At 51.4% G+C, this 12,016-nt stretch overlaps 1 protein-coding gene across 19 annotated transcripts in view, besides 6 other annotated features; it reads left to right on the top strand.

The window, feature by feature from the left end:
* The window catches only part of SCARB1 (scavenger receptor class B member 1), an 87,009-nt gene extending 84,569 nt beyond the window's left edge, over positions 1 to 2,440 (top strand). For all 19 annotated transcript variants that reach the window (NR_160418.1, NR_160420.1, NR_160422.1 and 16 more), the window contains one exon: positions 710 to 2,440. Coding sequence is in view for 3 of the 19 variants with exons in the window: in NM_001367987.1 (NP_001354916.1) it covers positions 710 to 829 (120 nt within the window). In the remaining 16 variants the exon portion in view is untranslated. The remainder of the gene's footprint in view (positions 1 to 709) is intronic.
* Positions 4,589 to 4,748: an enhancer, noted in NCBI's record as "active region_7303". NCBI's record gives its function as "activates an Ori minimal core promoter by ATAC-STARR-seq in GM12878 lymphoblastoid cells {active_cell/tissue: GM12878}" and the evidence as "EXISTENCE:reporter gene assay evidence [ECO:0000049][PMID:35858748]".
* Positions 4,809 to 4,858: an enhancer, noted in NCBI's record as "active region_7302". NCBI's record gives its function as "activates an Ori minimal core promoter by ATAC-STARR-seq in GM12878 lymphoblastoid cells {active_cell/tissue: GM12878}" and the evidence as "EXISTENCE:reporter gene assay evidence [ECO:0000049][PMID:35858748]".
* Positions 4,869 to 5,028: an enhancer, noted in NCBI's record as "active region_7301". NCBI's record gives its function as "activates an Ori minimal core promoter by ATAC-STARR-seq in GM12878 lymphoblastoid cells {active_cell/tissue: GM12878}" and the evidence as "EXISTENCE:reporter gene assay evidence [ECO:0000049][PMID:35858748]".
* Positions 4,869 to 5,233: a biological region, named in NCBI's record as "Sharpr-MPRA regulatory region 2215".
* Positions 4,939 to 5,233: a silencer, noted in NCBI's record as "tiled region #2215; K562 Repressive non-DNase unmatched - State 7:EnhWF". NCBI's record gives its function as "represses a minimal TATA promoter and a strong SV40 promoter by Sharpr-MPRA in K562 cells {active_cell/tissue: K562}" and the evidence as "EXISTENCE:reporter gene assay evidence [ECO:0000049][PMID:27701403]".
* Positions 7,150 to 7,219: an enhancer, noted in NCBI's record as "active region_7300". NCBI's record gives its function as "activates an Ori minimal core promoter by ATAC-STARR-seq in GM12878 lymphoblastoid cells {active_cell/tissue: GM12878}" and the evidence as "EXISTENCE:reporter gene assay evidence [ECO:0000049][PMID:35858748]".

Below are 12,016 nucleotides of genomic sequence, written 5' to 3'. Positions count from 1 at the left end.
TACTGTTCAGGCTGAATACCGTCCTGTGACATGGGTTTAAAAACACAGGCCAGGCATGGTGTCTCACGCCTGGAATCCCAGCGCTTTGGGAGGCTGAGGTGAGAGGATCGCCTGAGCCCAGGAGTTCGAGACCAGCCTGGGCAACATAGACCTGATCTCTACAAAAAATTAAAAAATGAGCCGGGCGTGGTGGTGGCACGTGTCATTGTCCCGGCCACTTGGGAGGCCGAGGTGGGAGGATCACTTGAGCCCAGGAGTTCAAGGCCGTGGTGAGCCATGATGGCACCACCGTACTCCAGCCTGGGCGACAGAGAGAGACCGTCTCTAAAAAATAAAAAATAAATCAACACATAAACATACGTTCTCCTCCTGAGGGACAGAGCTTGCCCCGGTTGTTCCATGTTGACTGTGCTGCACACAGGCCGCCCCCCTTGCTCTGCCCCTCACTGTATTAAGTCTCTTTGGGCCTCAGTTTCTCCATCTCTAAAGGAGGTCGGGGAGGCCAGGCGGGTGTTGAGTGAGATGAAGAGGCCCTTGGAGTCATTCCAGGAGTCTATAGGTGACTCCAGTCTCTTCTCACTTCTGACAGCCTGGTGGCGGGGGTGGAGTCTCTGCTGGGGATGTGGGTACAGGGCTGTGGTGGGCGGGGATGAGGGTGGGGTTTGGTGACAGGGCGTGGGTGGTCACCCAGCTTTGCCTTTCTCCACAGGGTCCTGAGGACACCGTGAGCCAGCCAGGCCTGGCCGCTGGGCCTGACCGGCCCCCCAGCCCCTACACCCCGCTTCTCCCGGACTCTCCCAGCGGACAGCCCCCCAGCCCCACAGCCTGAGCCTCCCAGCTGCCATGTGCCTGTTGCACACCTGCACACACGCCCTGGCACACATACACACATGCGTGCAGGCTTGTGCAGACACTCAGGGATGGAGCTGCTGCTGAAGGGACTTGTAGGGAGAGGCTCGTCAACAAGCACTGTTCTGGAACCTTCTCTCCACGTGGCCCACAGGCCTGACCACAGGGGCTGTGGGTCCTGCGTCCCCTTCCTCGGGTGAGCCTGGCCTGTCCCGTTCAGCCGTTGGGCCCAGGCTTCCTCCCCTCCAAGGTGAAACACTGCAGTCCCGGTGTGGTGGCTCCCCATGCAGGACGGGCCAGGCTGGGAGTGCCGCCTTCCTGTGCCAAATTCAGTGGGGACTCAGTGCCCAGGCCCTGGCCACGAGCTTTGGCCTTGGTCTACCTGCCAGGCCAGGCAAAGCGCCTTTACACAGGCCTCGGAAAACAATGGAGTGAGCACAAGATGCCCTGTGCAGCTGCCCGAGGGTCTCCGCCCACCCCGGCCGGACTTTGATCCCCCCGAAGTCTTCACAGGCACTGCATCGGGTTGTCTGGCGCCCTTTTCCTCCAGCCTAAACTGACATCATCCTATGGACTGAGCCGGCCACTCTCTGGCCGAAGTGGCCGCAGGCTGTGCCCCCGAGCTGCCCCCACCCCCTCACAGGGTCCCTCAGATTATAGGTGCCCAGGCTGAGGTGAAGAGGCCTGGGGGCCCTGCCTTCCGGGCGCTCCTGGACCCTGGGGCAAACCTGTGACCCTTTTCTACTGGAATAGAAATGAGTTTTATCATCTTTGAAAAATAATTCACTCTTGAAGTAATAAACGTTTAAAAAAATGGGATGCCTGCCTCTGTGACAGCCTTGTTTGCTGAGGTCGTGGGGGTGGGGGCCTCTGGGAAGTTCCGGGCTCCTCTTCTCTTGGTCAATAGCTCCTTTCTGGTGGCTGCCAAGAGCGTCTCTCCCAGGGCCGGGCTGCTGGCTTACCTTCCTGTTGTTTTCAAATTTCAACCTTGTGCAATGTTGAGTTTCATAGAAATACTGCATGAGTACGCCCTTGTTTAGAAGCAGCAGGGTCTGAGTCCCATCCCACAGCCCCCAGTGCAGACGCTTTTGCCACTTTTGCATGGGGCCCCCTGGATGTGTTTCTGTGCATTTATCTACAAATCCTGGTGCCCATAGGACATGCCCCGTGTTGTTCTAGGCCTTTGCTTTCTGCTCGTTACATAAATGGTGAAGAAGAGAAGCGGGTAAGAGAACAGATTGGAGCCATCTAAAAGTTCTCATCTTAAGTGTAGATCATTGCAAAGGATGGAATTTTCTCCGATTGTCATCATCGTTGATGTTTGAATATGAGACCATTTCATCAGTATTTAAGTGTGCCCGCTGGGATCTAACTAGGAGAGGAGAGGGTATTCACTGCCGAACATTTCAAAGAATATACGAACAAGCTCTTTTATGGTCAGAAATGTTAGCCCTTTTCCCCTTAAACTTGTATTTCCTTTCTTCTTCCCTCCTAAAATTTTATCTAAATGATATTTATATTTGATGCTTTTAAGCCTTTTATTAATCACTCCTATACTTGCCTGCAACATAAATATATAAGTTGAAGCAAACTTTTTTTTTTTATTTCTTGTGACCATCAAGGGTAAATTTTTTTAGGTCTGGGGCTGCCATAACAAAATACCATCAAGGCCGGGCGTGGTGGCACACGCCTGTAATCCCAGCCCTGTGGGAGGCCAAGACCGGAGGATTGCTTGATGCCAGGAGTTCAAGACTAGTCTGGGTAATATGGTGAGACCCTCATCAATACAAAAAAAATACAAAAATTAGCCAGGCGTGGTGGTGGGCGCCTGTGGTCCCAACTACTCAGGAGGCTGAGGTAGGATTGCTGGAAGCCAAGAGGTTGAGGCTGCAGTGAGCTGTGATCATGCCACTGCACTCCAGCCTGCGAGACAGAGTGAGACACTGTCTCAAAAAGAAAAAATACCATCAATAGGTGGCTTAAACCATTTATTTCTCACAGCTCTGGAGGCTGGAAGTCTGAGACCAGGGTTCCAGCAGGGTTGGGTTCTGGTGAGGCGTCTCTTCCTGGCTTCAGACGGCCGCCTTCTCTGTGTCCTCACATGGCCTTTCCTCGGTGTGAAAGGGGGAAGAGAGAGGGAGAGCGAGAGCTCTGTGGTGTCTCTTATAAGGACACTGATGCTATCAGATCAGGGCCTCATTTAATTATTTTCTTAGAGGCCCCATCTCCAGACACAGCCACACTGGAGGTTAGGGCTTCAACAGGAATTTTGGGTCAACACAAACATTTAGCCTATACCATCTGGATTGCCTTTCAAGTCTCAGGACACAATTGGTCAAAACTATATTACTATGTTTTATGTGACATATCAAAGTAGCAAAATTTTATTGGAATGCATGTCCTTTTGGTATGCATTTTATATATCTTTTTCATTTACAGATTAGAGTTGTGTGTGAGTGTGTGTACAATTCCATGAATTTTGACATGTTTATAGAGTTGAGTCATTACCCCTACAATCAAGACAAAACAATTTCATCATCCCCCAAGATTTCCTCATGTCTTCCCTTTGTTTTTGTTTGTTTTACAGTGGGCTCCCATAATTTTTTTTTTTTTTTTTTTGAGACAGAGTCTCGCTCTGTTGCCCAGGCTAGAGTGCAGTGGTTCAATCTTGACTCACTGCAGCCTTCACCTCCCAGGCTCAGGAGAGCCTCCTGACTTAGCCTTCCGAGTAGCTGGGACCACAGATGTGTGCCACCACACCTGGCTAATTTTTTTTTTGTAGAGATGGGGGTCTGGCTCTGTTGCCCAGGCTGGTCTCAAACTTTTGGCTTCAAGCATTAGTCCCACCTCAACCTACCAAAGTGCTGGGATTAGAGGCGTGAGCCACTGCACCCAGCCTGCGACCTGTGCTGCCTTCCTCCCACTTTGTAGGGAAGTCCCTCATCCCCATGCTTAGCCCTTGGCCACTAGCTATTTTTACCTTTTCCAGAATGTTCTAAATGGGATCTACAGCCTGTAACCCTCTGAGCCTGGCTTCCTTCACTCAGCACTGTCTCTAGATGCATGCCTGTTGTTGTGTGTAGCAATAGTTCCTTTCTTTTCACTGCTGAGCAGAACTCCATGGGGTGCACACACCAGTGCTTTTCAGCCGTTCACTTATTGAGGGACACGTAGAGTGGTTGCAGCCTTTGGCAATTGCATTAGTTGGTTTTCACGCCACTGATAAAGACATACCCAAGACTGGGTAACTTTTAAAGAAAAAAGGTTTCATGAACTCACAGTTCATATGGCTGGGGAGGCCTCACAATCATGGTGGAAGGCAAAGGAGAAGCAAAGTCATGTCTTACATGGGACCAGAGAAGAGAGAATGAGAGCCAAGTGAAAGGGGAAACCCCCGATCAAACCATCAGATCTTGTGAGACTTACTCACCACCAGGAGAACAGTATGGGGTTAACCGCCCGTATGATTCAATGATCTCCCACTGGCTCCCTCCCACAACATGGGAATTATGGGAACTACAATTCGAGATGAGATTTGGGCAGGGACGCAGCCAAACCACATCAGCAACTATGAACAAAGCTGCTGTGAACGTTCATGTACAGATTTGTGTGTGAAGGCGTACGTTCATTTCCCTGGGGTGTATACCTCGGAGTGGAGCTGCTGAGTCAAACTGGAGCTCTGCGTTTCACTTTTGGGGGACTGCCAGTTTCACAGTCGCTGTACCAGGCTGCATTCCCATCAGCTCTGCGTCCTCACCAGCATCTTGGTGTTTTCAGTTTTAAAAAACTTCAGCCCTTCGTAGTGGTTTCTCATTGTGGCTTTTATTTGCTTAGAAATACTTCTTGTCCTGAGATGAGTGGGACTTCCTCTCCACCCCCAATTAATTCATGTATCCGTGAATGACTGTCACGTATTGCTAGAATGAAACCAATTTTTACCATCAATTCTTTGTCCCTGCAAGTGCAGAGAAGCCTTGTTTTCATAAGGAAGTCACTGGGAGTGGAATTCTTATACTCCTTCTGGGTAGTATGCGAATGTCACACGGCGATCTGTCATTGGAAGCGATTCTCACTGATCTCCCAGCAGACAGGTCCGTTTGACCTTTCTTCAAATTTGTAGAAAGCAGCAAAGTGGAAACCACCGGCTTGCAAAAGCATTTCTTACCCAATCTTTAGATGGGTTCTCGAAACCTGTGTCCGGGAAGTTCCCTCTGATTGGGGCTGGAGGTCAGGGAGGCTTTGCCCGTTGGCTGTAGAGTGGAGGGGTGGGGGGTCTTGTGACCTGCCCGGGGAAATGGCAGGCGAGTGACAAGCTCAGGAGAGAGTCCAGGCCCCGAGGATGGTTCCCTTCAAACTCCCCATGTCTGATCCTCTGGGAAGCTGAGGCCAGCTTTGGTTATTTGATAGCCACGGTGAGGATTTTGACTTAATCTGTGTATGCAACACATCACAGACAGTTTTAACTCTTGCATTCAAGTCTACCTGCTCATAAAACAGAAAAAAAGACAGGCCCCAGAAGGCATTCGGTTTTTTTTTTTTTTTTTTTTTTTTTTTGGAGACAGGGTCTCACTTTGTCACCTAGGCTGGCACAATCACTGCTCACTGCAGCCTCAACCTCCCAGGCTCAGGCGATCCTCTCACCTCAGCCAGCCTCCCAAGTAGGTGGGATTATAGGCCTGTGCCACTACACCCGGCTAATTTTTTGTATATTTTTGTAAAGATGGGGTTTCGCCGTGTCGCCCAGGCTGATCTCCAACTCCCAGGCTCAAGCGATCCGCCCGCCTCGGCCTCCCAAAGTGCTGGGATAACAGGCATGAGCCACTGCCCTGGCCCTTAAGTCATTCTTGTGTTTGTGTGTGTGTGGGGTGTGTGTGTGTGTGTGTGTGTGTGTGTGTGTGTGTGTGTTCCCGAGGGACTTAGCCTCCCGTGTGTCTCATTGGGTGAACATCTTGCTTCTGAGTGAGGTTTGATTTTTTTGTAGGGTGTGCGTTTGGACACATCCTTGGTCTTAAGCCCAGCCAACGACCTTAGCCAGGGCTCAGGGAGGGAAGCACCGCCTGCCCCACAGCTGGAGGGCTGGGGTTCGGGACACCCGGTCGAGCTTCAGTGTCTCTGATTCTGAGCATCTTTGACTCTGCGAGACTTTCTTCTCATGCCTTCACTTCAGGCGCCAGCCCCTGCCAACGATGGGACTCCACTACTTACCATGTTGATTTAATTTGGCTTACTTTTTTTCTTAAAGAATTTTATTTTAAAAGGAAGGCAGTCATATCTGTGAAATTATGGGTCCTTTGGGCAAGTAATAGTTTTCCAGTCGCCATTAAAATAAATACCTAACTATTAAGGACGTTCCTCCCAGTACCTCGAAGCAGCCTGCTACCTGCAATCTCTGCACCATCCCATGATTGTGTCCCATGCACCCTTCTTCCTGCTCGGCCTGCATCGCCCCTGCGTGGCCTTTTCCCCCCTCTCTGCCTCTCTCAGTCTTCGCCATCATCAAAGGCGCAATTCCAGCCATGCCCTCTCCTCCAGGAAGCACCCCTCCCCCATCACTCCTGCTTGCTGTTCTTCCCTGTCTCAGGACTCCTGGGGCACTTTGTATCTCAGTTGATACTAGAATGTTCTAGAATACCAGAAGTCCTGACACCAGTTGCTGTAACCCCAAACTCCAAGGACCTGCAGCATAAACCCCGGTACATGCCCTTGTGCTGGAAACGAATATTTTTGGCCGGGGCGGTTACTCACATTCCTTAGTACTCCTTGGCTCACGCGGACACCCATTCTTTCAACACATACTTATCCAGTGCTCACTACGCGCTAGGCACAGGGGGTGCAATTGTGGACCAGACAGAGGCGGCCCTTCCTCTCAAACAACTTTACAGTTCTGCCACTTACTAGCTGTGGGACCCTGGACAAGTCACACAGCCTCTCTGGAGACCTACTGTTCTCTCCTTTAAAGCAGGTGACTCAGATCTGCTTTGCAGGGACGTCTCCTGCTTTGCAGCGATGTCACCCAGGAGAGATGGGTGAAGTGGATAGTGAATGGAGTGGGCCAGGGCGGTGGTCCTCGGCTGAAAACAATGCCTCTCGGGGTCAGCGTGGGGCTCAAGAGGTGGCGGCCCCGTGGGTGGGTCCAGGGCCAGGGACCCTGTGTCCGAGCCCCTGCCCTGGAGCCATCCTGTCTCACCTGAAGGCTCTGCCAGTCTGGTCCACTGGCCTCCCGGCTCCCACGCGTGTCCCGAGCCGTCCATTCTCCAGGTAGCGGCCCTGAAATGTTAATCTGTCACAAGGGTCATCTTTGCTTGAATTGTGGGTGACTTTTCCCCATCCTGGGGGTAAAGTCCCCCCGACTTGTCTCTCCATCCGCGATCCCCTGCAATCTGGCTGCAGCACGCGAGACTTCAGGACGATTCCGAGCTCGGCCACTGGGGGGCGAGCTGTGCACACAGGTGGTCCAGAGGCTGCTGCCTGGGAGGGGCTGCGGATCACCCGGTTCCTGGAGCGGAGTGGATTGATTTTAAACTGGGGAAGCTGTGGTCCACAGCCTGGCTTCGGAAACCCGTGACCCCTAGAAATTGTATTTTACGTGTGTGTCTGGGCGTTTTATTCTGGGAAGCATTTCCTCAAGTCTTCAGATTTTCAAAGGGGTCTTAACCCTTTCTCTCTGGGGCCTTGGGAACAAGAGTGACAACCCTATAACAGGGCGACCAGGGTCACACGATGTCTGCTCCTCCTTAGCGTGCTACTCCCAGTACCTGCGTGCTACTCCCAGTACCTGCGTGCTACTCCCAGTACCTGCGTGCTACTCCCTGCTCTGCTCAAGTTGCTGGGTGGCCTTGGAGCAATTCATAACCTCTCTGAGACTGCCGTGAGGTGGGAGTGAAGATTGCTGTGTACGAATCTTTGAGAACCCCTGTAAGGGTGGAATCGAAATGGACGTGTGAGGGCTGGGCGCGGGGGCTCACGCCTATAATCCCAGCACTGTGGGAGGCCAGGGGTTCGAGACCAGCCTGGGCAGTATGGTGAAACACCGTCTCTACTGAAAATACAAAAATTAGCTGGGTGTAGTGGCGGGCACCTGTAATCCCAGCTAGACGGGAGGATGAGGCACGAGAATCGTTTGAACCCAGGAGGTGGAGGTTGTAGTGAGCCGAGATCATCCCACTGCACTCCAGCCTGGGTGACAGAGTGAGACTCCATCTCAAAGAAAAGAAAAGAAAAGAAAAGAAAAGAAAAGAAAAGAAAAGAAAAGAAATGGATGTGTGAGCATTCTGTACACAGCCTGGGACGATTATGAAAGCTCTCAAATGCTGAGCCTCCAGCAAACATTTATCACACACCTACTGTGTGCAGAGCACTTGCTGGGCTCTGAGAGGGAGTCAAGCTCTGAGAAGTCTGTGTCGATTTGTTCATTCCTTCATTCAGCAAATGCTGTTTGGGTGCTCACTGTGTGTCACACACCCTCATATTTATTGCGAATCGGCTTGGGTTAGGTTCCCCAGAAGCAGACACTGAGACCAAGATTCCTGGCCAGGGAGTGTCCCAGGAGGGCAAAGGGGACTCTAGCAGCCCAGGGTCACGGACAGCTCTCAAAGGCAGACCAACAGGTCTTGGGTTTTGGATACAAAAATGCTCCAAAATCAGGGGTGTGCAAATACAGTAAAAAGAGGATTCATTTGGATCTGCTTAGAACACCAAGGGTATCCGCTTCAGAAATACAGAGGTGACCGGGTGCAGTGGCTCACCCTTGGGAGGCCGAGGTGGGCGGATTGCTTGAGGTCAGGAGTTTGAGACCAGCCTGGGCAACATAGTGAAACCCCATCTCTACTAAAAATACAAAAATTAGCCAGGTGTGGTGGCACACGCCTGTAATCCCAGCTGTGGGAGGCTGAGCCACAAGAATCGGTTGAACCTGGAAGCAGAGGTTGCAGTGAGCCGAGATCTCACCACTGCACTCTAGCCTGGGCGACAGAGTGAGACTCCATCTCAAAAAAAAAAAAAAAAAAAAGAAGAGAAAAGAAAAGAAAAACAACAACAACAAAGCTGGACGAAGCTAGAAAGCTCCCTGCCCTCACAAACTTGCCTTCTAGTGGGAGAGACAGCTGGCGAGTAAATGCATGAGTAAGGTCACGTATGAGTAAGGTCACTCATAAGTAAGGTCACACATGAGTAAGGTCACTCTGGGAAGCAACGATGCCAGGATAGAAAGAAGAGCAGGGGGTGCACCGGAGAAGAGGTGCTGGGCAGGGGGGCTGCTTAGATGAGAGCACATTTCCGGAAGTTTCCTCTGAGAAGTGCCAACTCCTGAAGGCTTCATGGGAATCTGGAGAAGAGCACTCCAGGAACCGGGAAGTACATGTGCAAAGGGCCTGGGGTAGCAACACGCAGAACAGAAACGGTGCGCTGTGGCTGGAGCCCAGAGAGTGGGACTGAGTGGGAGAAACGCAAACTGCTTTTCCTCCTCTGTTCACCCCACAACAATCAACACAGAAGACTTCTGTGACCAAATATGGGGGGCTCCCCCCACAGCAGATCAAATGAACACCTAATTCTGCAGCGGATGCCAGCTGGGGGCCCTCTGATTCAACTCAATTCTGCCGCTGTCTACCTGGAGGCAGTGTCAGACCCCACAGGTCGAGGGTTCAGACCCCAGGGCGGCCCCTTACTCCCGATGCCCCTCTCAAGCCCTGGGATGTGTCACCTGTGCTTCTCACAGACCAGCTGTGAATTGGGGTTCCCACGACCCTGTCTTTGGGTTCAATTAATTTGTTAGAACGGCTCACAGGGCTCAGGGAAGCACTGAGCTTATTTATTATAAAGGATGTTAGAAGGATACAGATGAAGAGATGCTAGGGAGAGGCATGGGGGAGGGGCACGGGGAAAGGGCATGGGGAAGGGGCATGGAGCTGCCATGCTCTCCAGGACACCACCCTCCAGGAGCCTTCCCATGCTCAAAAACTCTGTCCTCTTGAGTTTTTATGGAGGCTTCATTAGGTGGGCGTAATTTTTAAAATTATATCATTTTAAATTTTTAAATGTTTAATTTTTGTAGGTTCATAGTAAGTGTATACAGTTGTGGGGTGCATGAGATGTGTTGACACAGGCATGCAATGTGACGTAATCACATCATGGGAAGGGCGTATCCACCCCTTCAAGCATTTAGCCTTTGTGTTACAAACAATCCAGTTACACTCCTTCAGTTATTTAAAAATATACAATCAAGTTATTCTTGACTATAGTCACCCTGTTGTGGGATCAAATAGTAGGTCTTATTCATTCTTTCTCTATATGTATATGGTTTTTGTATACATGGGCATGATTGATTAAACCACAGGCCATTGGTGATCAGTTTGACCTTCAGCCTCTCTCCCCTCACTGCTGGAGGTTGGGGACTGGGCTGAAAGTCCCAGTCCTGTAGCGCTGACTTGGTTTTTCCTGAGACCAGTCCCCATCCTGAAGCTGCCTAGGGGCTGCTGGCCACCAGTGAGTCATTGGCAAACTAAACACTTTGGAGATTCCAAGGATTTTAAGGCAGAAGACCAAATAAATATTTTACACGATCACAGTGGGAGGGGGTTGGAGGGAGATGGAGGTGGAGAGCTGGGGGGCCTCGCAGTTAGGATTTTAAGTACAGTGGGAAACCACTGGAGATTTTTCCATCAGGGAGGGCTGCGTTTGCTGTTTCTGCTGTGGGAGAGGCTGCGGGGGCAGGCGTGGATGCTGGAGGTCTGGCTGGAGGCAGTGGCCCTCCTCCTGGTGACAGATGGTGGTGGTGGTGGTGGTGGTGGCCTGGGCCAGGGCGGAGCAGTGGATGAAGAAGGGACAGATGCGGGGTGTATTTTTAGGGGCTGGAGCTCATAGAACATGGTGCTAAACTGGATGTGGGAAGGGAGGGGTGAGGACGCGTCCAGTGAGACTCTCAAGTGTCTGAGCCTGACGGCCAGGGGGAGGGAGGGGCTGCTTTTTGTTTGTTAGTTTTCATTTGTTTTTGTTTGCTTGTTTGTTGTTTGTTTTCTTTTTTGAGACAGAGTCTCGCTCTGTCGCCCAGGCTGGAGTGCAGTGGTGCAATCTCTACTTACTGCAACTTCCACCTCCTGGGTTCAAGCGATTCTCCTGTCTCAGCCTCACAAGTAGCTGGGATCACAGGCGCCCGCCATCATGCATGGCTGATTTTTGTATTTTTAGTAGAGACGGGATTTCACCATGTTGGCCAGGCTGGTCTCGAACTCCTGACCTTGTGATCTGCCTGCCTCGGCCTCTCAAAGTGTTGGGATTACAGGCATGAGCCACCGCGCCAGGCCATTTTCATTTGTTTTTGAGACAGGGTCTCTGTCACCCAGGCTTGAGTGCAGTCGTGCGATCATAGCTCACTGCAGCCTCGACCTCCTGGGCTCAAGTAATCCTCCTGCCTCAGCCTCCCGAGTAGCTGGGTCTACAGGCACATGCCAGGACACCTGGCTAATTTTTAAATTATTATTATTATTATTATTATTATTATTATTATTATTTTAGAAAGAGAGTCACACTATGTTGCCCAGGGTGGTCTCGAACTCCTGGCCTCAAGCGATCGGCCCACCTCTGCCTCCCAAAGTGCTGAGATTACAAGTGTGAGCCAGAGGGAGGTGCCACTAACTGAGGAGGGAGGCAGGAAGGTGGGGCTGGGAGCAAGTAGGGCCCCGATCCCCCAGTGCAGACCCGGGCTTAGCTCAGCATGGATTGAATGGCTGTGAACTCCCTGTGGGGGCTGCAGAGGGAGGAGTCAGGACACTGAGGTTGTTGTGTCACCCACACCGGATTCATCCCCTATCCCGGTCCACCCACCCCCAGGGCATCTGGAATGTGAGAGGCCAGAGAGAGAAAGCACCACCAGGAATCCCAACGTAGCAACAGCACAAATAACAGCAGCCCCTTTTGATGCTCAGGGGAGCACATGTTTCATGGAGCTATCCAGTGACCTGTACAGCAGGGAGACTTGAGGGGACCATTTCACAGATGGGAAGACGGAGGCTGAGGGGTGAGGCTATATTTGCAAGGTGGATCTTTTTTGTGTGTGTGAGCAATTGGTCGCGCTGTCTCCCTCTTTAGACTTTACGCTGCTGAAGGCAGGCACCGAGTTCTGTGGGGTTCGTGGTCCATGGGCATGCATGCAAATCAGTCTTTGCTGAGT

This window comes from Homo sapiens, chromosome 12 (genome assembly GCF_000001405.40).
Source record: "Homo sapiens chromosome 12, GRCh38.p14 Primary Assembly".
NCBI lineage: Eukaryota > Metazoa > Chordata > Mammalia > Primates > Hominidae > Homo > Homo sapiens.
Note: the sequence above shows the minus strand (reverse complement) of the source record. Positions and strands in the feature narration are given on the sequence as shown.